Raw genomic sequence first — 27,940 nt, 5'->3', positions numbered from 1 at the left:
TTGAAACATTTACTTCAGTTAAGAGTGTATGCATATGTACTAGATGGCAACGTAACATATAAAAGTTGAAAAACACAGGTTTGGAGGATCATAATGTAAAACACATATCTTAACATATCATGGCCAGCTGTATGGCCACGTAGCTCTTTGAGGGTTGGGACATTCTTGATCTATATATCCCTCATGCCCAATGTCCTACCTGGTGAGTACTCAGGAGTTGTTGACCGGAATGATTATGAAGGTTTGAGAAGGAATTGGAAGAATGAAAAGCAGGTAGGTTGGGGAGGAAATGAGGGCTTGAATTAAGTGTAAATTTTGTAGTTTCCTTTATCTTGAATGTTAATATATATTTTTTCAACCTAATATTATTGCCACAAAGAACCCGTGTTTGTTATCTGTGCTCTGGGGTTGTCTCCCATCACCTTCAATGTAATGTGGTATAAATAATACTTCCTGCTAATGTTGCAGCTGTCACTCAAGGATCTTAAATTACTTTAGGAGCAAGATCTGGTGATGAGTGCCCGGCTCCACTTGGCAGGTGCCAGAGTTAAGAACCAGTGACTGCCTGAAATCTTTGTGCTCCAGGATGACGGCTCCCTCTCTGTCATCCTCCCACACTCTCTTCTGCCCATCCCTTCTTCCATGGAGGGAGGATACCTTGACCCTGCCTCTTTCTGAGCTTTGTAACTGGTAAATAGAGTCTGCAAAGATTCCGCTGAGCTAGAAGATTTGCTCTTTCTTTGCGGGTAGCTATGGTGTGTTTCGGGGGAAGACTCATGGCAATAAAGGCTATTAGTTGAACTGCCTCAGAGCTCAAAAAGCTTGGGGCTGAAAACTGCAAAGGAACTCATTAGAAGTGAGCTCTGGATTATCAAAGGCAATTGAGACTCCTCTGGTTAGAAGCTCTTTAAGATTTGCACTGGACAGAAAGGGGATATTTGACATGCGGTTACCTTTGTGGGCCATTTTATGTACATGGTCTTTTCTATAGCAACCTTATTTCTTGCTTCTGGCCACACTCCTTTTGGTCTTATAGTCCAAATCAGCCACAAGTCATTTAAATACCCCCTCCCCACCCTCTATTTCCTTCTCTTCTTTGCAAACCCACTGTCACCTTGAATATCTCCCCTCCCCCTTTCCTGGAAGCTCTTGGGGGTCAGTCTCTCTTTTCCGAGAAGCTGTTAACTGCCTACAGTTGGGCCTGGGAGGCTCCAGGAGGGTGACAGCAGAGTCCTGGCTTGGAGTCGGGTTACACCACTTGTGTCTGAGTTCACGCAGCATGTTCCTCTGTCAGGGATTCCGCAAATATCTCCCTGAGGTAAAAAAGGAAAGTGTGCTGCGCTCCAGCACCCAGAGCAGTGAGCCCAGTCCCGAGTCCCGGAGAGAGCTCCAGCAATAGGGGCCATGTCGCCATAGCCCCAGCCTCTCGGTCCGCAGCCTCAGCAGCGTCCCAGCCGGCTGGCTTCATGCTGCGGTGCAGCTGCACCATGTTCCTGGGTTGAGGGGGCAATCGGGCACGCTCCTCCCCATGGGTTGCCCATCATGTCTAATGGATATCGCACTCTGTCCCAGCACCTCAATGACCTGAAGAAGGAGAACTTCAGCCTCAAGCTGCTCATCTACTTCCTGGAGGAGCGCATGCAACAGAAGTATGAGGCCAGCCGGGAGGACATCTACAAGCGGGTGAGTGCAGGGGCCCGCTTCTCCGAGGCAGGGGCAGGGGCAGGGGACGGTTTGGCCTGCCAGTTGGTCGCTATTCTAGGCTCTTCCTAGCTGGCGCTGTGCTAGTCAGCGAGAGAGGTGGGGTTTCGTCCAGCTCTGGTCACCTTAACAACCTGTGACCTTGGACAAGCTCATTTCACCTCTCTGGTGCCTGCTTTCTGCTTTCCTTCTCTGTAAAGAAAGAGGACTGGAATAAATCAGAGCCGCTCTCAAACACTGACGTGGAACTGTGCGGAACAATCACCTTGGGAGCTGGTTTAAAATGTAGATTCCATGCCTCACCCTAGGGATTCCGATGTAGTAATGTGGGGGAAGGTGGGGGGAGAGGGTGGGGCTGGGGTGGATATTTGCATTTTTAAAATTTATTTATTTTAGAAACAGGTCTTGCCCTTTGCTCAGGCTGGAGTGCAGTGTCACCATCATAGCACTGCAGCCACCAACTCTTGGGCTCAAGTGATGCCTTCTGGCTCAGCCTCCTGAGCAGCTGGGACCACAGGCACAGGACACCAGGCCCAGATAATTAAAAACAAAAAAAATTGGCAGGGCACAGTGGCTCATGCCTGTAATCCCAGCACTTTGGGAAGCCAAGGAAGACAGAAGGCTTGAGGTCAGGAGATCGAGACCAGCCTGGCCAACATGGTGAAACTCCATCTCTACTTAAAAAGTACAAAAATTAGCGGGTGTGGTGGCATATGCCTGTAGTCCAAGCTACTTGGGAGGCTGAGGCAGGAGAATTGCTTGAACCCAGGAGGCGGAGGTTGCGGTGAGACGGGATTGTGCCGCTACACTCCAGCCTAGGTGACAGAGCAAGAGTCTGTCTCAAAAAAAAAAAAAAAAATTCGTACCAAAGGGGTGGCACTATGTTGTCCAGGCTGGTCTCAAACTCCTGGCCTTTAGATCCTCCCACCTCAGCCTCCACTGTTGTTGGTATTATAGGCATGAGCCACTTTGCCTGGGAAAATATGCATTTTTAAGCAAGATCCCTGAGGTGGCTCTGAAGCAGATCATCTCCAGGTCATACCTCTCCTAGAGAAAGTGCCCTCCTAGCTCCGGCTTGGTGGGGCAGAGAATGATGCTATGGAGAAAAGGGCAGGGGCTAAGGGTGTTTCCGTTCCTTGAGAAATTCATGTTTGCTTTTGAAGATGACTATGCAGATAAGCTTTTAGGACAGAATCTTAGGCATTTTTAGTCTTTGGAATAGCTTGCCTTAAAATGAAGAAGAGAGTAACCTGTGGGATAGCAGTTGGCCTGGGTGGAGTGGGAGGGGAAATGGCCTCTTCCTTGGATGAGAGGGCTATCTTGATTGATGGGTCAGTGATCAGGGTGGGGAAGGAAGACCTACTGGATTGGCTGAGCTGTGGGTGAGATAGGACAGCACCTTGATAAGAGGACATTGGGCTATGGGTTATGAGGATTAAGCCTCGTAGCTGGTCACCACAATATTGGTTTCCTCAGCCCTCTCTGTGTCTGGACAAGCAGGACCTGAAGTGGCCCAAGTGACCGGGGACTGGTTGCCTCTGACCTTATCAGAGATTCTAACTCTCCAACTGTTTACCCCAGAGGACTATACAAATACCATTTTCTATGTGTGCTCTGTCCTGTCAAGAGGATGGATGACTGGGAAGCGATACAGGCTGCTAGATAACATCTTGGATCAGGGAAATAGCTGGTGTCTATGAGACCCAAATGATTATTTAGTTAATTCAATTAATGTGTATAGCTAAATCTGGGGGATTTAACTCTATTTCCTGTCTCTCCTGCATTTCCATGTTTTAAGTCCAAATTTTCCAGAAGTTGGTCCAGATTCACCTTTTATCTTTTACGTGGCTATGTAATGAGTGTGCCTCATTGGAGCTGCCACGTGTCAAGAAGGATATTGCCAAGTGAGGGTTGGTAACAGAGAGATGGCGAGAGACGGAGGATGAGTGGGAGGTTTTGCCTTAGGGTTAGGGTAGGAATAGTGGATGGATGTATTCACTGTGCAGAGGGAGGAACTTTCCCCATTAACTGTCTTCAGGGCAAAGAAGGAAAGGACAATTTCTTAGGTAATTTGAGGGAAAGGATTTTGTTGTTGTTGTTGTTGTTCTGAGACAGAGTCTCACTCTGTCGCCCAGGCTAGAGTGCAGTGGCACGATCTCAGCTCACTGCAACCTCCGCCTCCTGGGTTCAAGCGATTCTCTGGAGTAGCTGGGACTACAGACGCCTGCTACCACACCTGGCTAATTTTTGTATTTTTAATAGAGGCGGGGTTTTACCATGTTGGCCAGGCTGGTCTCAAACTCCTGACCTCAGGCGATCCACCCGCCTCAGCCTCCCAAAGTACTGGGATTACAGGCGTGAGCCACTGCGCCCCACCAGGATTTTTTTTTTTTTAAAGCTGAATCAGATGGCTGTCTGAATCATTTGGTCTCACTCTCTGCTCTGCCCTAGCGAAAGATCTTTAGGAAACAACTTTGGGTGGGGTGTGAGAAGGCACCATTTCTCACCTGGAGAAGTGTGATAAATGAGATTATAGGAGCTGCACAAGGTGTATGTGGGGGGAGTGGAACACAGCCTGTTGTCACATGCAGAGAGGACAACCCTTTTGCTAGACTCTAGTATTGCCATGGGTCCCATACAGGAAGTAGATATGGCCCTGTCTCTATCTAGTCTTACGTGTTAGCAGAGTTGTCAGGCAGCTACTGCATCATATGATTTGAGGGATCTCAAACTACTGTATCCCCTCCTCTTCCTTCTCACCAAATGTTTGTTCAATCTGCCTGTCATATTAATTTTCTCATTTGGCTATGATTATTTGAAAAGCGCTAAAGGCTTGTGCTAAAATGTTCTTATTACTTGGGAAACAGAACACATAAAGCCATTATCAATCATTCAGAGTTGAAATTAGTTTACCACACTATGTCATGATGAGTGATTGATAGGAACTAGAGCCGTTCTGGTTTATTTTATTTTTTGAGACAGGGTCTCGCTCTGTCACCCAGGCTAGAGTGCAGTGGCACCGTCACGACTCACTGCAGCCTTGACCTCCTGGGCTCAAATGATCCTCCCACCCCAGCCTCCCAAGTAGCTGGGACCACAGGTGTGCCACCACACCTGGCTAATTATTTATATATATATGTGTGTGTGTGTGTGTGTGTGTGTATGTATTTTTTTTTTTTTTTTTTTTTTGGCAGAGATTGAGGTCTCACTCACTATGTTGCCCAGGCTGGTCTCAAATTCCTGGGCTCAAGTGATCTTCCCACCTTGGCCTCCTAAATTGCTGGGATTACAGGCATGAGCCACCACACCCAGCCACAGTTCTGTTTTGATGTAAGAACGAGGGATTCGGAAAACACTGCATTAAGACCTATTGTCAACAAGGAGACTTAGTTAGGCAAGTTACTTAGCCTCTCTGAGCCTGTTCCAGCCTCTATAGGATTGACATTAACAATAATGCTACAGATACTGAGAATTATTTTTCTATGAATAAATAGCAGCCATGAAGATGAAATAAGAAACATATCAAAACACTTTATAAACTTAATAACATCACATATATATGAGAGGGTAGTAGTTATATTTCTACTAGTAGTTATAGTTATAAAATTTAAATATGGGGACAAGGTTTGACTCTTTATAATCTCCCCCTCATAATTCCCACAGATGTGTCTTATGTTCATTCTTGTTATTCATATTGTGATCCCACGAGATTAGGAAGATTAATTAGCAGCAATGTGCCCAGCATCACATGGTAAATCAGGTGGTTCAGAGGATAATTTAGAGTACTGTTCTGTTACCAAACTTAGTAACAGAAGTTTGATTTTTCTGTTGCTAAGAAACAGAATTTTCTTGATTCTGATTTTTTTCTTTAGCGTTGGAAGGACACTTCTTTAAAAAAAATATTGTAAAAACATTAAATCAAACTCTACTGAGTTAGAATCTGCAATAATTTGAGTGCTGTATGCGTGGTTCTTTTTAAGAAAACCAATGCTTGTGAAACATATGTAATGGAAAGTCTATTGTGAGTAGTAATTATTTTATTGATGTGCATATTTATGCTACCGGGAATTTTTGTTGAGCTGTTTGTACTTAAGAGTGAAAAATTACTCTTAGCGAGAAACAATAAAGTATTTGATTGGCTTCAGGGAAGGGAAATACGGGCAACTTTGGGAGAAGAGAACTGGAGAGTGGGTGCTATCTTTCTCTTTCCAAGTGGCAAGTCTTCTCCTAGGTAGCTGATTGAGGAGACTAAAATAGATATAATCCTTACTTGTAAATGGAAGCTATAAGGATTTTAAATTATAAGAGGAGTTGTCAAAGCTAGAGAGTTATGTTAAAAACCTAAGAGTATCAACCTCAAAGCAAGTAAATAAAAAAGAAGGAGTTTCTCTCTTTTAAGCTGTTCAGAGAATTAAGAAATAATCTTAAGAATCATCCTGGCCATGGATTAATAAAATAATATTAATTCATACATAAAAATTGGTTTCTTGAGACTGGCTACTTTTTTGTTGAGTGTTTATCCTGTAAGCTTCAATTTTTGTAAATCATCATAATAAATTTTTTAAAAAGGAAGAGGCTGCTTACCCTCTGTACCGACAGAGTGGGACATATGCCTACATGACCAGGCACTGCTACCCCCTTTTGGTAGCAAACATTAATTTTAAGTTCAGCTTTTAGGGAAGACAATTTTAAACATATAAAGCAAGCAAAGGAGAAATCATTGCAGTACACTGACTCTGAAGCAAAATAAAGTGAGAAAATGTTGTGAGTGGTCCACAGCTGAGTATGGCCCACTCCTAGGGAGACTGGCTTGTTAGCATTTCTGGACTGCAGCTGCTGTGGTAAGTAATTTTTGGGTGGCAACTTGGCTGACTTCCTCATTGTTGATTGCCTAATCCTGCATTTTCTCATATTAGTCAAGTGTGTCGCTACTGGAATCTTGTCTGACCCTGGAATTTATGAAATCCACTGCTGTGTGGTAAACACCCAGTCTCCAAACAGCACACAAAACCATCATCCACTGGGTTTTGCCCCCTGATGACTACTTGTTCAACTTGTGTGAATTAAGTTTCCATTCTAAGAATGAAATTGAAAAACTGACAAGGCCAGATCTGATAGCAAAAGGGTCAGGAGAAATAAAATGTTGTCGTCCTTGACCAGATAGAGTCAATGTTTAAATATGATGTAATGATATTGGAAGGTTAAAGTGGACTTAGCCCTTAGATATGAGTTGAGAGAGTTGTGTTGCGTTGTTTTATGACCCTTAAGCTGCCTGACTTCTTTGAGATTGAAACTTCTTTGGTTTTCTCATCTTTGAGATTGGATGATACTTTTCCTGCGCAATCTTTGAGGTTTATGCATAGCATACTTCTATAGCTATGGTAAACAGCCTACTGATTTTACTTGCCTACCAAATTGTCATTGTTTTTACTATTCTGTTATTGCTGGGCATAACGGCTAAGAGCTATAAATTGGCGAGACCTGGGGTGAAATCTTGATTTTTCTACTTACTATTTGTGTTGGGAAAAATACCATAATTTCTCTGAGCTAAAGCAAGGGCAGTAATAACACCTATCTTACAGGGTCTAGAGGAGGATGAAATGAGTCAATTAGCTGAACTCAGCATAATGCCTATCACATAGTAAGCTCTCAATAAATATTTGCCATTATTGTGACAAATTGAGAGACGGCAAACTTATCCGGATAAGTCTTAATTACTGACACATTCATGCTGGACTATTTTTTATTCCAAATCAGTTTCTTTTTCCTCAATAGTGGACTTGGGACCATTTGTCCTATTTGTCTCAATTCTCAATTGTTGTTTGCTTGTGTGTAAATAACATAATATAATCCAAGTGTCCCTATTGCATCAAATTTACCTTGGCATTCTCAGATACAAATGTTCATTCAAAGAAAATAAATAAGAAAGGCTGGGTTGATTAAATTTCTTTTTGGCTCATTGACTGATTTTCTTTGGTCCTAGCCTGATTTCTTTAGGCTTTGGGCAACATGATGAGGAACAATATACCTGCAGACTTACAAGGAAGCTCAGGAACTCCATCAGGCGGTAGGATTTAGGAAGCTGGACTTGAACCAAAGGAAGGCTATTAGAGAAGGATGAGTATCTTGGGGGGTTATCAAAAATGTTGTGATAAAAGTTTTGAACTCTAAGGAAACCTGAATTCTTAACCTGCCGTTTCTAGCTACATGATCTTGGGCAAGTCACTTAACTTCTGTGAACCTTAGTTTCCTAAATTAGAGTCATCAATTCCTGTCGTGCTCTCCTCCCCCATGGGTAAACATGTTTTAGTGTATTAGACGTTAGATAAATAGAAAGGATTGTGATTTCTATCCTGCATAGCTGGAGACACATACTAGAAAGCATGCACCTGCTCAGGTTATTGTCTAAAGTGGCTGTGTGGCTGCTGTTGCCAGAATTAATGCTTGTCTTCTTATATGTAGCAGAGTTTGCTCTTCTTTTACAGTTGGATGCCTTATTTAATTAGTGGCTATGTTTTTTTCTCCTATGTTTTACTTACACGAACTTTAAGAAATGTGGATGATGGGAAAGGAGGAACATAAGAGACAGACAAGATTACATTAGCCAAACTATTTTTAAATGGTTCTCTGGAAGCCTAGTATGAACATGGTCCATGTGTGTCTGTGTCTACGCACACTGTGTGTGCCAATTCCCCATTCTCAGCCTTCTGAGGTTCGTGAGGTCATGCTTACCTATTTCTTCTTTCAGGGAATGAAAGTTGGCAGAAATAGAGGGAATCCATCCATTAAATATTTGTAACCAATATTTATGATTTTGGTTAAATATTTTTTTAAACTTCACACTCATTAGGATGGCTATTATACTAAAAATCAAACAACCCAGAAAATAACAAATACTAGTAAAGATGTGGAGAAATTGGAACCCTTGCACATTGCTAGAAAGAATGTGAAATGGTGCAGGTGCTGTGAAAACCAGTATGGAGTTTCTCAAAAAATTAAACATAGACTTACCGTATAATCCAGCAATTCTACTCTGGGTATAACACAAAATAAATGAAAACAGGAACTCAAATAGATATTTGTATTTCTGTGTTCATAGGAGCATTGTTTACAGTAGCCAACAGGTGGAAGCAACTCAAGTGTTCATTGACAAATGAGTGGATAAACAAAATGTGGGCTATATAGACACTGGATATTATTTAGCCTTAGAAAGGTATGAAACTCTGACATGTGCTGTAACATGAGTGAACCTTAAAGATGTCATGCTAAGTAAAGTCAGTCCCTAAAGGACAAATATTTATTATTTCACTTAAATGAAGTACCTAGAGTAGTCAAATAATGAAGACAGAAAGTGGAACTATGGTTGCCAGGGGTTGTGGGGAGGAGGGAATGGGGAGTTAGTGGCTACAGTTTCATTTGGGAAAAAGTTCTGGAGATGGATAGTGATATTTGAACAACTATGTGAATGTACTTAATGCCATAGAACTATATACTTTAAAATAGTTAAAATGGCAAATTTTATTATATGTATATTTTAACACACACACACAAAATGTTTAGGCCTGGCATGTTGGCGCATGTCAGTAATCCCAGCACTTCGCAAGGCCAAGGTGGGAGGATCACTTGAGCCCAGGAGTTTGAGACCAGCCTGGGAAACATAGCAAGACTGCATCTCTGTAAATTTTTTTTTTTTTTAATTAGCTGACATAGTGGTGTGTGGCTGTGATACCAGCTACTTGGGAGGCTGAGGTGGGAGGATTGCTTGAGCCCAGAAGGTTGAGGCTGCAGTGAGCCATGATTGTGCTCCTGCATTCTAGCCTGGGTGACAGAGTGAGACCCCATCTCACACATACACACAGAAAAAAAAATGCTTAAAGCAACTTTCCCCAAAAAGTCAGTTGCTTATAAAAATAGTGGAACTCTTAACCAAAGGCAACTCTGTTTTCTGCTTTTCCTTAACACAACTTATCTCATTTTTTCAGAGCTTTTAATTAGAATTCATAATACTTGCCTGTTGAGAAATGCTTCTTCCCTTTGAATACTTAGGAATTTTTCTTTCAACCACTGGAAAACAAATCCCAGACTAAATTCTGGGCCCTAATTTAATTCTAATCCACTTTCAGTTATCCCCCTAACAATGTCTACATAATTTATACTTCTGCATGAACTTATTACAAGGCCACTTCTTTCTATAGTGTATGTACATTCAGGTTTATGCACTGATAGAAGTAGCATGTTACACTTGAAAAAAATAGACATTCTAAATTTCTGTCTCAAATGTTTCCCTTGTTTGCAATATCATTTTAGTCATTTTTTTGCTCATATTTGCACATATGCATTGGTATATTCAGTCGAATGTCTATTGATTATCTACTATATGCCAGCTACTGTGCTAGATTCTGGTGGAGAAGACATCAACAAATAAATAAAAATGGTATAATAAGGGCTACCATAGAGGTATGGACAGATTATGCTATAGTGCAATAAAATCCACCAGGAAAGGCCTTGCCAAGTGTTTGAAGTTTGCATTGAATCCTAAAAGGTAGTAACATAACAAGAAATGGGAAAAGGCATTTCTTTTTTCTTCTTTTTTTTTTTTTTTTTTTGAGATGGAGTCTCACTTTGTGGCCCAGGCTGGAGTGCAGTGGCGCCATCTTGGCTTGCTGCAATCTCCACCTCCCAGGTTCAAGCGATTCTCCTGCCCCAGCCTCCTGAGTAGCTGGGATTACAGATGCTGTGAAACATACGCTAATTTTTCATATTTTTAGTAGAGACGGGTTTTCACCACGTTAGCCAGGCTGGTCTCAATCTCTTGACCTCGTGATCCACCCACTTCGGCCTCCCAAAGTGCTGAGATTACAGGCATGAGCCACCATGCCTGGAAAATCCAGAAATTCTTTTTTTTTTTCTTTGAGACAGAGTCTTGCTCTGTCAGCCAGGCTGGAGTGCAGTGGCATGATCTCGGCTCACTGCAACCTCCGTCTCCTGGGCTCAAGCGATTCTCCTGCCTTAGCCTCCCAAGTAGCTGGGATTACAGGCGTGTGTCACCATGCCCGGCTAATTTTTGTATTTTTAGTAGAGATGGGGTTTCGCCATGCTGGCCAGGGTGGTCTCAAACTCCTTACCTCAGGTAATCCACCCACCTCGGCCTCCCAAAGTGCTGGGATTATACGTGTGAGCCACCGCGCCTGGTGGGAAAAGGCATTTCAAACAGAAGAAACAATATACAAAAGCAGAGGTGTACAAAAGCAATGTGCACTTGGCACACTGGAATCATTCTGTATGGCTAGATCATGTGGTTTGGAGGGCTTGTGGTGGTGGTAAGATGAGGCTGCAGGGGAGAAATCATGGAAAGCTTTGGACTTATCCATTCATTCATTAATAAACATTAATTAGGTACCTGCTATGTTCCAAGTACTAGAAGTTGGGACTTCAAAGATGAGCAAACCACAGGTGCTAGAGTATAGTAAAAGGCAGTAACAGAGCTGTGTACAAAGTGTAAGGAAACTCAAAGGGGGCACTTCTATCCCAAATGAATAGAGTGGATGGAAAGAAAATCTGCAAAGGATTATTCGTGATGACCCCTGAACTTCGTCTTCAAAGGGGAATAAGCACTAATCAGTCAATGGATGATGAAGTGGAAGGACAGAGTTTTTGTCACAAGCAAAAGCCTTGAGGCAAGAAACCATAGGGTGCTTGCACAGAATTAGAAGTGGTTTAGTGTTGGTGGATTTAAGTACTAGGCGAAGAATGAGACTGATATGACGGACACAGTCTTTTGTGCCATTTTAAAGATTGTAGACTTTATCCTGAGGAAGACAAGGCACCACTGATGGGCTTTAAGCTGCAGGGAACCTGCTAGATCCCTCTGATGCATGGGAAAGGTGGATTCAAGAGAGTCAAGGCAGGAAGTGAGTGAGAACAGACTTGCCAAGCCAAAGAAGATGAAGGCCCGAATGAGGGCTGTGGCAGTAGGAATAGAGGGGAGGCAACTCATCTTTAAAATATTTAAGAGGTAAAATATTTGTAGGACTTGATGATTGATCAGGATGGGAGAATTGAGGGAAAGGAATCAAGAGGAAGGCCAGGCTAAGGCAAGTCACTTTTTCTGGGCTTCTGGTTCTTTGTGTTTAAATGAGTGGGCTGGACCAGGATTGACGCACACATCCCTCCCAGTTCTGAAGTCCCGTGATTCTGGGCAGCCTTTCTCTGGGCGCAGAGAAAGGAAGCTCTATGATACATGGGTGTTCTCACCACAGCTTAGATAGTTGCTTAAAAGAGACTCATAGTTTCTCAGCTTCTCTGACAGCTTCTCAGGATGGGAGGTGGCAGGCAGAGCTGAGATGGCTTTAGAACTGCCAGCCAATGCAGGGAAATCTAGTGCGGTTACCAGGTAGCCGGAGTTATAATTAGCCTCGTTGCTAGGGCAAGGCTGAGATTCTGTAAGCATGGACTGCCAGCAACAGCTTTTCCCTGCTGGGTGAATTTACTTGTTTGAAAGAACAAAGTGGGTATGGATGGGGTGTTTTTAAATGTGTTTTAGATAATTTAAATTTTGCCCTAGGTATAGGATATGTTTAAAGCAGAAAACAGGTTTGTGTTGGGGCTGATCAACATCTTGCCTGGGGCAGAAGGAGTGAGGAAAAATTCCACTCTGTTATATGTTTGGATAGCTGGAAAGAGACTTACTTTCACCTGAAGGAAGATAAGTAAGAACATAAAATCATTATTCAGAGGTAGAGAGGATCTTGAAGATAATCTACATAATCCTTTCACTTTTTAAGAAAACCATTTATTTAAAAATAATTTTAGACTTATAGCAAAGTTATAAAAATAGTACAGAGTGTTCCCATATGCCATTCACTCAGCTTCCTCTAAAGAATAAACCCTTCATTTTAAAGATAAGATGACTAAAGCTCAGAATAGTAATTTGCCTAACGTCACACGGTAAATTAGTAGCCAAGCTGAGACTAGAATCCAGGAGCCCTAACTACCTGTTCAGGCTGCTTACAATGACCTCTGGGACCTTCAACAAAAATTCAAGAAATGTAAGTGCTTGTCAGAACTTAGTTTTTCTTTCTTTTTGCATTACTGGGCTAAAATAGAACTCACACAGCAGGAGCTAGAGTAATTACAGAGAGATGAATCTGCACTCTGTGCCTACTGCCAAAAGAAAAGGTTTAGTTCCTCAGCCTCCTCAGGAGTTTCATCCATATGTTTTCAAAAGTCACCGTGAACATATTTTTCTCTTTTGCCTTGCTCCCTGCTCTGGCTTTTGCCATCTCATCTGATCAAGTTCAACTGCACAGAGAGAGGAGGCTCTATGATACATGGAGTAGGCACAGAGCGAGGCTGGTGCAAACTGGAAAGGGGCCCGCCCTATCATGTTCAATAGCAGCTAATCCACCCACACACCGACAGCAGTGATCCGACTTGGTACATGCCGTTCTGTGGAGAGCTAAGTAATAGTCATGTGGCTTTTTGCCAAGCAACTTTAGAAGTGACATTGGGCCACAGTGGGCAGTTACTATCCCTGTTATTTAGAAACTTGGCTTGATGAAGTGGGGAGTGAATGCAAGGCACAAGCTGCATTGTAATGCCAGCTTTTCATATCCCAGCCTCATGTAAGCCCTGCTGCTGCAAAGGGCTACAAGCCACCTCTTCATGCACACAGGGCTTTAGAAAGCCCACCCAGAGGCTTGGGAAGAGGAAGCCCTTCTTTAAGGTGCCTGGATGAGCGGCAGGGAGGCTGCCAGCATGATGGCTATGATCTGGAGCTGCAGAAAGAGGGTCTAGGCACTGGTCAAGGGCCTGAAGTCAGCCAGTTCTTTCAGGTCACTTTTTCTTGGTAAGTCTCAGATCTTCTCCCTGAGACCACACAGGTAGCTTCCTCTATCAGAGTTACTCCGTGAGACCTCACACTCCAGATTCTTATCAGTCAAGCTCAGTATCTGCTCAACACAAAAGTAAATCTAGTCTTGCCCACTGTGAACTCCGAAAATTTGAGACAGGTCTCAGTAAATTTAGAAAGTTTATTTTGCCAAGGTTGAGGACACATGCCCCTGGCATAGCCTCAGGAAGTCTTTATGACATGTGACCAAGGTGTTTGGGGCACAGCTTGGTTTTGTACATTCTAGGGAGACATGAGACATCAATCAATGTATGTAAGAAGTACCTTGGTTCGGTCTGGAAAGGCGGGACAACTTGAAGCAAAGGCAGGAAAACTTGCAGTGGGGGAGGCGGCTTCTAGGTCACAGAAGAGAGACAAAAGGTTGCATTCTTTTGAGTTTCTAATTAGCCTTTCCAAAGGAGGCAATCAGATATGCATTTATCTCAGTGAGCAGAGAGATAACTTTGAATAGAATGGGAGGCAGGTTTGCCCTAAACAGTTTCCAGCTTGAGTTTTCCTTTTATTTTTTGTATTTTCATTTCCATAGGTTATTGGGGAACAGATGGTGTTTGGTTACATGAGTAATTTCTTTAGTGGTGATTTGTGAGATTTTGGTGCACCCATCACCCAAGCAGTATATACTGCACCCTATTTGTGATCTTTTATCCCTCACCCACTTCCCACCCTTTCCCCTTGAGTCCCCAAAGTCCACTGTGTCATTCTTATGCCTTTGTATCCTTATAGCTTAGCTCCCACTTATGAGTGAGAACATACAATGTTTGGTTTTCCTTTCCTGCCTTACTTCACTTAGAATGATAGTCTCCAATCTCATCCAGATCATTGTGAATGCGTTAATTTATTCCTTTTATTGGCTGAGTAGTATTCTATCTCATATATATATATATATATATATATATATATATATATATATATCCATCATATATATATATATGTGTGTGTATACACACCACAGTTACTTTATCCACTCATTGATTGGTGGGCACTTGGGTTGGTTCCACGTTTTTGCAGTTGTGAACTGTGCTGCTATACGTATGCGTGTTCAAGTATCTTTTTTGTATAATGACTTCTTTTCCTCTAGGTAGATACCCTGTAGTGGGATTGCTGGATCAAATGGTAGTTCTACTTTTAGTTTTTTAAGGAATCTCCACATTGTTTTCCATAGTGGCTGTACTAGTTTACATTCCCACAAGCAGTGTAGAAGTGTTCCCTGTTCACTGCATCCACATCCATATCTACTATTTTTTTATTTTTTTGATTATGGCCAGTCTTGCAGGAGTAAGGTGGTATCACATTGTGGTTTTGATTTGCATTTCCCTGATTATTAGCGATGTTGAGCCTTTTTTCATATGTTTGTTGGCCATTTGTATATCTTCTTTTGAGAACTGTCTATTCATGTCCTTAGCCCACTTTATGATGGGATTGTTTGTTTTTTCTTGCTGATTTGTTTGAGCTTGTTGTAGATTCTGGATGTTAGTCCTTTGTCAGATGTACAGACTGTGAAGATTTTCTCCCACTCTGTGGGTTGTCTGTTTACTCTGCTGACTGTTCCTTTTGCCGTGCAAAAGCTCTTTAGTTTAATTAAGTCCCAGCTGTTTGTCTTTGTTTTTATTGCATTTGCTTTTGGGTTCTTGGTCATGAAATCCTTGCCTAAGCCAATGTCTATAAGGGTTTTTTCGATGATACCTTCTAGAATTTTTATAGTTTCAGAACTTAGATTTAAATCCTTAATCCATCTTGAGCTGATTTCTGTGTAAGGTGAGAGATGAGGATCCAGTTTAGTTCTCTTACATGTGGCTAGCCAATTATCCCAGCACCATTTGTTGAAAAGGGTGTCCTTTCCCCACTTTATGTTTTTGTTTGCTTTGTCGAAGATCAGTTGGCTGTAAGTATTTGAGTTTATTTATGGGTTATCTATTCTGTTCCATTGGTCTCTGTGCCTATTTTTATGCCAGTATCATGCTGTTTTGGTGACTATGGCCTTATAGTATAGTTTGAAATCAGGTAATGTGATGCCTATAGATTTATTCTTTTTGCTTAGTCTTTCTTTGGCTATGCGGGCTCCTTTTTGGTTCCATATGAGTTTTAGAATTGTTTTTTCTAATTCTGTAAAGAATGATGGCGGTATTTTGAAGGGAATTGTGTTAAATTTGTAGATTGCTTTTGGCAGTATGGTCATTTTCACAATATTGATTCTACCCATCCATGAGCATGGGATGTGTTTCCATTCATTTGTGTCGTCTATGATTTCCTTCGGCAGTGTTTTGTAGTTTTCCTTGTAGAGGTCTTTCACCTCCTTGGTTAGGTATATTCCTAAGTATTTTATTTTATTTTATTTTTTGCAGCTGTTGTAAAAGGGGTTGAGTTCTTGATTTGATTCTCAGCTTGGTCGCTGTTGGTGTATAGAAGAGCTACTGATTCGCATGCATTAATTTTGTATCCAGAAATTTTGCTGAATTGTTTTATGAGTTCTAGGAGCTTTCTGGAGGACTCTAGGATTTTCTAAGTAAACAATAATATCATCAGCAAATAGTGACAGTTTGACTTCCTCTATAACAATTTGGATCCCCTTTATTTCTTTCTCTTGTCTTGCTCTGGCTAGGACTTCCAGAACTATGTTGAAGAGGAGTGGTGTGAGTGGGCATCCTTGTCTTGTTTCAGTTCTCAGAGGAAATGCTTTTAACTTTTCCCCCAGTCATTATTACGTTGGCCGTGGGTTTGTCATAGATGGCTTTTATTACATTGAGATATGTCCCTTGTATGCTGATTTTGCTGAGAGTTTTAATCATAAGGGGATGCTGGATTTTGTCAAATGCTTATTCTGCATCTATTGAGATGATCATGGTGATTTTTGTTTTTAATTTTGTTTATGTGGTGTACCACATTTATTGACTTGCGTATGTTAAACCTCCCTGCATCCCTGGTATGAAACCCACTTGATCACGGTGGATTATATTTTTGATATGTTGTTGGATTCGGTTAGCTAGTATTTTGTTAAGGATTTTAGTATCGATGTTCATCAAGGATATTGGTCTGCAGTTTTCTTTTTTGGTTATGTCCTTTTCTGGTTTTGGTATTAGGGTGATGCTGGCTTCATAGAATGATTTAGGGAGGGTTCCCTCTTTCTCAATCCTATGAAATAGTGTCAATAGGATTGGTACCAATTCTTTGAATGCCTGGTTACATTCTGCTGTGAATCCATCCGGTCCTGGACTATTTTTGTTGGTAATGTTTACATTACCATTTCAATCTTGTTGCTTGTTATTGGTCTGTTCAGAGTATCTAATTCTTCCTGATTTAAGCTAGGAGGGTTGTATCTTTCCAGGAATTTATCCATCTCTTCTAGGTTTTTTTTTTTTTTTTTTTTTTTTTTTTGAGATGGAGTCTTGCTCTGTCGCCTAGGCTGGAGTGCAGTGGTGTGATCTCGGCTCACTACAAGCTCCGCCTCCCGGGTTCATGCCATTCTCCTGCCTCAGCCTCCCGAGTAGCTGGGACTACAGGTGCCCACCATGGCGTCCGGCTAATTTTTTGTATTTTTATTTTTATTTTTTATTTTTTATTTATTTTATTTTATTATTATTATACTTTAAGTTTTAGGGTACATGTGCACAACGTGCAGGTTAGCTACATATGTATACATGTGCCATGCTGGTGTGCTGCACCCATTAACTCGTCATTTAGCATTAGGTATATCTCCTAATGCTATCCCTCCCCCCTCCCCCCACCCCACAACAGTCCCTAGAGTGTGATGTTCCCCCTCCTGTGTCCATGTGTTCTCATTGTTCAATTCCCACCTATAAATAATGCCGCATATCTACAACTATCTGATCTTTGACAAACCTGAGAAAAACAAGCAATGGGGAAAGGATTCCCTATTTAATAAATGGTGCTGGGAAAACTGGCTAGCCATATGTAGAAAGCTGAAACTGGATCCTTTCCTTACACCTTTTTTGTATTTTTAGTAGAGACGGGGCTTCACCATGTTAGCCAGAATGGTCTTGATCTCCTGACCTTGTGATCCACCCACCTTGGCCTCCCAAAGTGCTGGGATTACAGGCGTGAGCCACCACGCCCGGCAGCTTTATTTATCTTTTCAAAGAACCAGGTTTTCATTTCATTTATCTTTTGTATTTTTTGTTTGTTTGTTTCAGTTTCATTTAGTTCTGCTCTGATCTTGGTTATTTCCTTTCTTCTGCTGGTTTGGGTTTGGTTTGTTCTTGTTTCTCTAGTTCCTTGAAGTGTGACCTTTGATTGTCTGTTTGTGCTCTTTTAGACTTTTTGATGTAGGTGTTTAGGAATATGAACTTTCCTTTTAGCACTGACTTTGCTGTATTCCAGAAGTTTTGATAGGTTGTATCACTATTTTTGTTCAATTTGAAGATTTTTTTAATTTCCATCTCGATTTCATGATCATTCAGGAGCAGGTTAATTTCCATGTATTTGCATGGTTTTGAAAGCTCCTTTTGGAGTTGATTTCCAGTTTTATTCCACTGTGGTCTGAGAGAGTGCTTGATATAATTTCAATTTTCTTAAATTTATTGCGGCTTGTTTTGTGGCCTACCATGTGGTCTATCTTGGAGAAAGTTCCAGGCACTGTTGAATAGAATGTATATTCTGCAGTTGTTGGATGGAATGTTCTGTATATATGTCTTAAGTCCATGTGTTCCAGGGTATAGTTTAAATCCATTGTTTCTTTGTTGACTTTCTGTCTCATTGGCCTGTCTAGTGCTGTCAGTGACATATTGAAGTCCCCCACTATTATTGTGTTACTGTCTATCTCATTTCTTAGGTCTATTAGTGATGGTTTTATAAATTTGGGAGCTCCAGTGTTAGGTGCATATATGTTTAGGATTGTGATATTTTCCTGTTGGACAAGGCCTTTTATCATTATATAATGCCGCTCTTTGTCTTTTTTAACTGCAATTTCTTTAAAGTTTGTTTTGTCTGATATAAGAATAACTACTGCTGGGCCAGGCACGGTGGCTTATGCCTGTAATCCTAGCACTTTGGGAGGCCAAGGCAGGCAGATCACCCCTGCCTGTACTAAACCTATCTGTACTAAAAATACAAAAATTAGCTGGGCATGGTGGTGCACACCTGTAGTTCCAGCTACTTGGGAAGCTGACACAGGAGAATTGCTTGAACCTGGGAGGTGGAGGTTGCAGTGAGCCAAGATCGCGCCATTGCACTCCAGCCTGGACTACAAGAGTGAAACTCCATCTCAAAAAAACCAAAAAAACAATAGTTACTTCTGCTTGCTTTTGCTTTTGGTGTCCATTTGCATGAAATGTCTTTTTCCACCCCTTTACCTTAAGTTTATGTGAGTCCTTATGTGTCAGATAAGTCTCTTATGTGTTAGGTGAGTCTCTTAAAGGCAGCAGATAGTTGGTCGGTTAATTCTTATCCATTCTGCAATTCCGTATCTTTTAAGTGGCGCATTTCGGCCATTTACATTCAATGTTAGTATTGGGATGTGAGGTACCATTCCGTTCATTGTGCTTTTTGTTGCCTGTATACCTTGGTTTTTTGGGTTTTGTTTTTGTTTTTTTGAATTGTATTTTTGTTTTATAGGTCCTGTGAGATTTATATTTTAAAGAGGTTCTGTTTTGATGTGTTTCCAGGTTTTGTTTCAAGATTTGAAGCTTCTTTTAGCAATTCTTGTAGCGCTGGCATGGTAGTGGCAAATTCTCTCAGCATTTGTTTGTCTGAAAAATACTGTATCTTCTCTTCGTATATGAAGCTTAGTTTCACTGGATACAAAATTCTCAGCTAATAATTGTTTTGTTTTAGGATGCTGAAGATAGGGGCCCAATCCCTTCTGGCTTGTAGGATTCCTGCTGAGAAATCTGCTGTTAATCTGACAGGTTTTCCTTCATAGGTTACTGGGTTCTTTTGTCTCACAGCTCTTAAGATTCTTTCTTTTGTCTTAACTTTAGATAACCTGATGACAATGTGCCTAGGTGACGATCTCTTTGCAATAAATTTCCCAGGTGTTCTTTGTGCTTCTTGTATTTGTTTAGGTCTCTAGCAAGGTTGGGGAAATTTTCCTCAATTATTCCCCCAAATATGTTTTTCAAACTTTTAGATTTCTCTTCTTCCTCAGCAATGCCAATTATTCTTAGGTTTGGTCATTTAACATAATCCCAGAGTTTTTGGAGGCTTTGTTCATATTTTCTTATTTGTTTTTCTTTGTCTTTGTTGGATTGGGTCAAATTGAAGACTTTGTGTTCAAGCTCTGAATTTCTTTCTTCTACTTGTTTGATTCTATGGCTGAGACTTTCCAGACCATTTTGCATTTCTATAAGTAAATACTAACACAGTATTTGGTGTGTCTCCTGGGTCCTGCAGGAGCCATCTGCTTCCTTCAGGGGGCCTGTGGGTCCTCTGAGGTTTTGTAATTTATTCCTCCAGTCGTTCTGGAGCAAAAATTCATGATACGAGCCTCCACATGCTTCTCTGTCCATCCGAGTCGGAGCTGCAATCTAGTCCTGACTTCCATCCAGCATGATCCTGAGTTTTCCTTTTAGCTTAGTGATTTTGGGAGCCCAAGATATTTTCCTTTCCCACCCACCTAGCACAGTTGTATTGATGACAACAGGGTTGTCAACTCTCTACTTCAAAAATCAGGAAGTGCTGGGTCCAGAGCTGGATTCCCAGAGTCTTCCTGTAGCAGAAATCAAATGAAGGTGGTGAACTTCTGGGACTCAGAGGAGCAGATCCCTTAGAGGTGGGGAGCAGTATTGTACTAAGGCTTGTTCTTTCCAACCCCTTCTAGTCTGTGGGATTGTGGGGAAGCTCAGCTTGCTGACAAAACCATTTGGAGCCTCAGAAGACTAGGAGGCAGGTTAGTAATAACCAGTCCCTGCCATCTTCTGTGAAGCTGGGGTGAGAGCAGACAGGTTCCTTCAGCTGTGTGGAAGCTTGGTTCTGTAGGGAGCACATAAAAGGGCTGGAGAGAATTGCTGCAGTTAGAGGATGGTGATGTCAATTAGGAATGGAATTCCACCTGACGCTTTCTGAGTTGGCCTTCAACTGCTAGCTTCCAAATTTCTACCTCCCGTCTCCTTCCTCCTGTTTTCTCTACTGCTGCAAGGGGACAGGGTCTTAACCAGTGCCTAACGTTCTTGATGTAAGGTGCAGGAAAATAAATGGTTATAAGGAAAGCAGCCTGAGGACTCCTTCCCTATAATTTGCAGCTACTTTATCTGCAGAAGAGGTTTCTAGACCCAGGTCTTGTCCCATCTTCTGGTATTAAATTCTTCCTACTCTTAGGCCCTTTCTGTCCTTCTTTGCCCCATATCCTCCCCCCACTTTTCCCAAATTCACTCATGCACATGGCAAGTAAACGCTAAACACTTCCCATTTAAATGCTATAGAGGAAGAAATCTGTTTTGTGTTTACTGTGTGCCAGGCACCATGTTATGCATCTTACACATATTTAATTTCAACCATATAATAGTCCTATGAAGTGGGTGTCTTGTTCCCATTTTTCACAGGATGAAATTTGCCATCAATAGGCTCAGGGAGAGTACCTGGTATCCCAGCAGCCGTGTGGCCTCATTCTACAGTTAAGCAAGGCTTTGGTACATTCTTTAGAATTTAGTTAGTAACTCTTTCAAATGCAAATGATGTTTTCCAGTGAATAACTACATTGTGTTATTCACTGGAGAGAAAGAAAGGACTCTAGTAAAATGATATTTACTTTCGTAGTGACTTTTGCCAAGATTGTGGCAGGAAGGGGTGGCATTGTCTCATTGAGGTACCTGCAGTACAAGGTGGCATTGACCTCATTTTTACTCTTAAAACAGGTGCAACTTGCCGTGTGCAATGTGCCTGGGCTGTCCTTATCTGTATAGGTTGCCCTGTTAGGCTTGTGCTGAGTCTGGTTTGGAACTCTAGAATTCAGAGGAAATAGGAAATTCATTAAACCAAACTAAAAAGGTTAGAAAATGAGGCTTATGTGAAAAGGGCAATGGAATTGGGATTTTTACTTTGGGGGAAAACAGACTTACAGGTGACCTAATAGTGCCTTTTAGGTACTGAAGTCTCAATATGTGACAAGTGGTAATTAGTTATTCTCTGTCCCTGCCGAGGATAAGAATAGGTCAATCCTAGTTTAAACTAAACATTAGTCTTCATTCATTTAAAAATATGTACTAAGCCCCTACTGTGTTCTAGATTCTATTGGAGGTGACTGGAGTATATATCAATATATTCATGTATAAGTCTTTGTTTTATTTCTTTTGGGTAAATACCCAGTAGTGGAACTGTTAGGTCATATAATAAGCACATACAGGCATTCCCATCCTCATAGAACTTATAGTCTGTCATGAGTAGACAGAAAATAAACAATAAATATTATAAATAAAGTATGTAGAATGTTGGAAAGTGAAAGTCCTCTTGGGGCAAGGGAAGGAGAGCATTTAAATGCTTCCCATTTATTTCTGATCAGCTCTTGATAGAAAAAAAATTGCTCCCTATTTAAATCCTATGGAAGAAGAAATCCATTTAGTGTTTACTATAAGCCAGGCACCATGTTATGCATTTTACACATATTTAATCTCAATCAAGTAATAGTCCTACGAAGTGGGGGTCTTGCCCCACTTCAAAAATGAGCAAAGGTGTGGTGGCTCAAATCTGAAACTCCAGCACTTTGGGAGGCAGTGGTGGAAGGATTGCTAGAGCCTAGGAGGTCAAGGCTGCAGTGAGCTGTGTTTGCATCACTGAACTCCAGTGATCAGACTGCACTCCTGGGCAACAGATCGAGACCTTGTCCCAACTAAAAAATGGGCAAAGGACATGAACGGAAGACATACATGGGGCCAACAAATATTTGAAAAAATTCTCATGCTCAATATCACTAATCATTAGAGAAATGCAAGTCAAAACCACAATGAGACACCATTGCACACCAGTCAGAATGCCTACTGTGAAAAACAAAAAATAAGGTGTTGGCAAGGTTGTAGAGAAAAGTGCTTATACGCTGTTGGTGAGAATGTAAATTAGTTCAGTCACTGCGGAAAGCAGTTTGGTGATTTCTCAAAGAATTTAAAAGAAAACTACCATTTGACCCAGCAATCCCATTACTGGATATATACCCAAAGGAAAATAAATTGTTCTACCAAAAAGACACATGCACTTACATGTTCACTGCAGCACTATCCACAATAGCAAAGGCATGGAATCAACCTAGATACACATCAACAGTAGACTGGGGAGGAAAAATACGGTACATATAAAGCACGGAATACTATGCATCCATTAAAAGAATGAAATCATGTCTTCTGCAGCAAAAGAGATGCAGCTGGAGGCCATTATCCTAAGCTAATTAACACAGGCACAGAAAACCAAATACTGCATGTTCTCACTTATAAGTGAGAGCAAAACTTTGAGACATGGACACAAAGATGGGAACAATAAGCACTGGGGCCTACCCCAGTGGAAGGTAGAAGGGGGGAGAGGGTTGAAAAGCTAACTATTGGGTACTATACTTACTACCTGCGTGATGGGTTCATTCATACACCAAACCTCCGCAACATGCAAGTTACCCATGTAACAAACCTGCACATGTACCCCCTGAACCTAAAACAAATGTTGAAAAAAAAATTACAGGAGTGGAGAGCAGGTTGCAGTATTAAGGAGTGGCCAGGAGAGGCCGTGTTTAGAAAGTGATTTAAAACACCCTTCCATACCCAAATGCACAGCCACCCCTACCCCTATCCCTCCTTCACCCCCCAACACATTTATTATCTCACAGTGTGTGTGGGTCAGGAATCCAGGCACCGCTTAGCTGGGTTGTCTGCTTAGGGTCTCCCTAGGCTACAGCCAAGGTATTGGCCAGGCTGCATTCTCCTCTAGAGGCTTGACTGAGGAATCTGACTCAGAGCTCACTTGGGCTGTCAACAGAATCCATTTCTTTGTAGCAGTAGGACTGAGGGCCTTGACTTCTTGCCAGAGGTTGGCTAGAGGCTGTCCAGGGTTCCTTGAAGTCACCTAGTGTTCCTTGCCATGTGAGCTTTCCCCATATGGCCACTTCAAGTCAGCAAGGAGAGGCTCTAGAGCAAATCTGCAAGCAAGAGAGCCTTGAAATTTAATATAATCACAGGAGTGACATTCTTTCACCTTTGCCATATTCTATTGGTTAGAAGTAAGTCGCAGGGCCTGCTCATACCCAAAGAGAAGGAGTTACACAAGGGCACAAACACCAAGAGGCGGGGATCATGGGGAGCCACACTGTAGTTTGTGGACCACACTACCTTTTACTTTTTTTTTTTTGAAAGGATGGGATGGAAAGAGAAGCAAATAAACATGACAGTTACCAGTGCAGGAAGATTTGTTTCTAGGTTTACCTTCACAGCCTTTATGGCCTTCCAAGCTGACCTGAGGCAATGAAAGCATCCTAGACTGGTAGTCTCCATGCCAACCAAGCTCTTTACTCATTCTTTGCACTTGGCAGTTTGCATTGCCACTTGCTATGTCATTTTAGTTTTTCCTTTCATGTTTTGTTTAAATAAACTTTATTAAGTATGCAGTTAGATAAATTTTAACAAATGTATACCACTGTATAACAAACACCACACAATCAAGATAAAAAAATACTTCCATCACACCAAAAAAGTTTCCATATGTCCTACTGGTGCCACATGTTTCAAACCTTTCATACCTCTGGCTGCAGAAAACCACTGATCTGCTTTCTGTTGATAGATAGTTCTGTCTATTGTAGAATTTCATTGAAAGTGAATCATAAAATACAGACTATAGTATCTGGCTCTTAGAATAATGATTTTGAGTTTCATCCATGCTATTTGTATCAGTAGTACATTCATTTTTATTGCTGAGTAGTATTCCATTGTATGAATATAATACAATTTGTTTATTCATTCATTTGTTGATGAATGTATGAGTTGTGTTCAGTAACAGGCTATTATGGATTAAGCTGCTATGAATATTCATGTAACAAGTCTTTGTTTTATTTCTTTTGGGTAAATGCCCAGTAGTGGAACTGTTAGGTTATATAATAAGTATATATAGATTAAATATCTCTTATCTGAAATGCTTGAACCAGAAGATTTTCAGATGTGTTCAGATTTTGAAATATTTGCATATACATAATGAGATATCTTGGGGATGGGACCCAAGTCTAAACATGAAATTTATTTATGTTTCATATACACCTTGTACACATAGCCTGAAGGTAATTATGTTTTTCTCTTGGGGATGCTGAATAAACTGGGTGTTGTGCCTGCATTTTTGCTGCAACCTTTCATGAGGTCAGGTATGGAGCTTTCCACCTGAGGTATCATGTTGGTCCTCAAAAAGTTTTGGATTTTGGAACATGCTGGATTTTGAATTTTTAGATTAGGGATGCCCAGTCGGTATTTCTGCCTATTTTCTGAATAGATACTGTCTAACTATTTTTCAAAGTGGCTATGCCATAGAAAATAATTTTCAAATAGCAACTTGAAGGAGATGACGAAGTTGGTCAAACAGAGAACTGGGGGAAGAATATTCCAGGCAGAGAAACATCAGGAAAGCCACTGTGGCTGATGCAGCATAATCAAGATTAAGCATGCTGGAAGATGAGGCCCCAGAGGGTATGGGGCTTGTGTAGTAAGTCCCTGTAGATGATTTTAAAGACTTCAGCTTTTACTCAGAGTGACATGGGAACCTATTGAAGGGTTTTGAGCAGAGGAGGGGTCTAACAAATGCCAGTCCTGTCTGACTTGTTGAAATGATAAATCTGGTTACAGTATTGCAAATAGGCTGTAGAACAAAAGTAGACACCAGGAGGACTCTTAGGAAGACACTGCAGTAATGTATGTAGGGGCTGATAGTGATCAGACTTAGGTAATAGTGATGCATGTGGGAACAAGTGGTGAAGGTAGCAAATCTAAAAGGATTTTGTCAATGGATTGGATACAGAATGGGAGAGAAATAAAGGAATCAAGGAAAATTCCAGGGTTTTTGGAGTAAGCAACTGGAAGGATGGAGTTGCCATAACTGAGATAGGGAAGGCTATGGATGGAGCAGATTTGAAGGTGGAGAGTAGGGGTTCAGTTTTGGAAATTTGGTGTGTAAGCTATTTGCTAGACATTTTATGTGGCAGCATTAAGTAAGCAGTTGAATACATAAGTCTAAAGTTCAGGAAATAGAGTAGGGCTAGAGACATAAATTTGGGAGTTATCAGCAAATAGATCATTAAATATTAAATTTAAATATTTAAAGCCATGAAACCATAGGAGATCACCAAAGGAGTTGGAGTTAGACCTTTCCAGGTGGAAGAGAAAAGGACCAGAGACTGGTCCTGTATAGCTCCAACATTAGTAATTTGGAGAAAAGAGGAAGAATCAGAAAAGGAAGATAGAGAAGGTACAAACCAGTGAAGTAGGAGAAAAAGTCTGGAGTCCCGGAAGCCAAATGAAGAATGTGTGTAGTGAAGAGGACAGGATCCACCTTTTGAAATCCTGCTGAGAGCTTGAGTAATACGATGATTAAGAATTGACCTTTGGCCCGCCAGACGTGGTGGCTCACGCCTGTAATCCCAGCACTTTGGGAGGCCAAGGTGGGCCAATCACTTGAGGTCGGGAGTTTGAGACCAGCCTGACCAACATGGTGAAACCTGGTCTCTACTGAAAATACGAAAATTAGCTGGACATGGTGGCGCATGCCTGTAATCCCAGCTACTCAGGAGGCTGAGGCAAGAGAATCACTTGAACCCAGGAGGCGGAGGTTGCAGTGAGCCGAGATTGCACCACTGCACTCCAGCCTGGGCAACAGAGCAAGACTCTGTCTCAAAAAAGAATTGACCTTTGGATTTAACAACATGGATGTCATTAGTGATCTTGATTAAAGTAATTCTGGTGGAGTGGTGAAGACAAAAGCCTGCTTGCAGTGGGTTTAAGAAACAATGTGAGGAGAAGAATTGGAGTCAATGAGGATGAATAATTACTTTGAGTTTTGTTTCAAAGGAGAGCAAAGGAATGGGGCATACCTGATAAGGGTATGAGGTCCATAGGGGATTTCTAGAAAGATAAATGAATAATAGCATGTTCGTATGCCAACAGAATTTTCCATTAGAAAGTGAAATATTGATAAAGAGAAGCAGGGGAGACCTTCTAGGTGTTGCCTTTGAGAGGTAGGGGGAATAGGACTTAATTAATACATAAGTGGAAGGTTTGGCTTTAGATAGGAGCATGGATAGTTGATCTATGGTTATAAGTGGAAAGACAGAGAATGTAACCCGAGATGTGTAGATGGATTGATATGGCGGTAAGAGACTGCCAGTGCTTTCTTCTGGTTTTTTTGTTTGTTTGTTTGTTTGAGACGGAGTATGTCCCTGTTGCCCAGGCTGGAGTGCAGTGGTGCAATCTCAGCTCACTACAACCTCTGCCTCCTGGGTTCAAGCGATTCTCCTGCCTCAGCCTCCCAAGTAGCTGGGATTACAGGCACACACCACCACACCTGGCTAATTTTTTTGTATCTTTAGTAGAGACGGGGTTTCACCATGTTGACCAAGCTGGTCTCGAACTCCTGACCTCATGATCCGCCCACCTCGGCCTCCCAAAGTGCTGGGATTACAGGCGTGAGCCACCACACCTGACCCAGGTGGGCCTTTTCTTATCACCACTGCCTGAAATCTTTCCCTCTCTGTGCTCTTCCAGCAATTGCCTACCCAAACCCTAGGCCCAGCCGACTTTGGAGGTCTCCAGTTGAACCTTCACCTTTTACTGGAATGGAGCAGTCTCTGCAAGAGGGGTTGGTGGAAGTAGGAAGCAAAAAAATTGAGAAAAGAAACAGTAAGAAGAGGAAGTTCTTGCAGGGAGAATTGTTTTTCAAGAGAGCTATATTTTTATTTTGAACAGCATCCATTTGTTTGATAAATATATCATTATCTTCTGTGTGTGGGCATTGTGCTAGCAATGCTACAATGGTGAGAAGATAGAGGGAGTCCCTGCCCTCATGACACTTAGAGTTTAGTGTCTGAACATAGTCCGAGCAGCATTGTGATACGCTGACTCCTGTTAAGTACAGTGCCTGTTATCATCCCTGCCCAGTGGTTTTGCTTCACTTATAATTACCTAGAGTCATTTTGGTATTTTGTTGGTTGATGGATGCCAGCACCCCACAAAACTCTCCAAGATGCTATGAGACCACAGGATTAACTGTGATTCAGGTCAGACTATGTCTTAATGCAAAGTACTTAAAGCAAATACATCTTTTTCCTAACATCTTATAGAACAGTGCTGTCCAACGTAAATATAAGCCATACATGTAATTTAAATTTTTCTCATGGCCACATTAAAAAAAGTAAAAAGAAATATGTGAAATTAA

The 27,940-nt window shown here is 41.5% G+C and overlaps 1 pseudogene across 2 annotated transcripts in view; it reads left to right on the top strand.

The window, feature by feature from the left end:
* The window catches only part of PDE4DIPP2 (PDE4DIP pseudogene 2), a 195,809-nt pseudogene that overhangs the window by 43,399 nt on the left and 124,470 nt on the right, over positions 1-27,940 (top strand). For both annotated transcript variants that reach the window (NR_144517.1, NR_144516.1), the window contains one exon: positions 1,573-1,683. The product of NR_144517.1 is annotated as a PDE4DIP pseudogene 2, transcript variant 2 (transcript). The remainder of the gene's footprint in view (positions 1-1,572; positions 1,684-27,940) is intronic.

Source organism: Homo sapiens, chromosome 1, assembly GCF_000001405.40.
Source record: "Homo sapiens chromosome 1, GRCh38.p14 Primary Assembly".
In the NCBI taxonomy this organism is placed as follows: Eukaryota; Metazoa; Chordata; class Mammalia; order Primates; family Hominidae; genus Homo; species Homo sapiens.
This window is presented reverse-complemented; position numbering and strand designations above follow the sequence as displayed.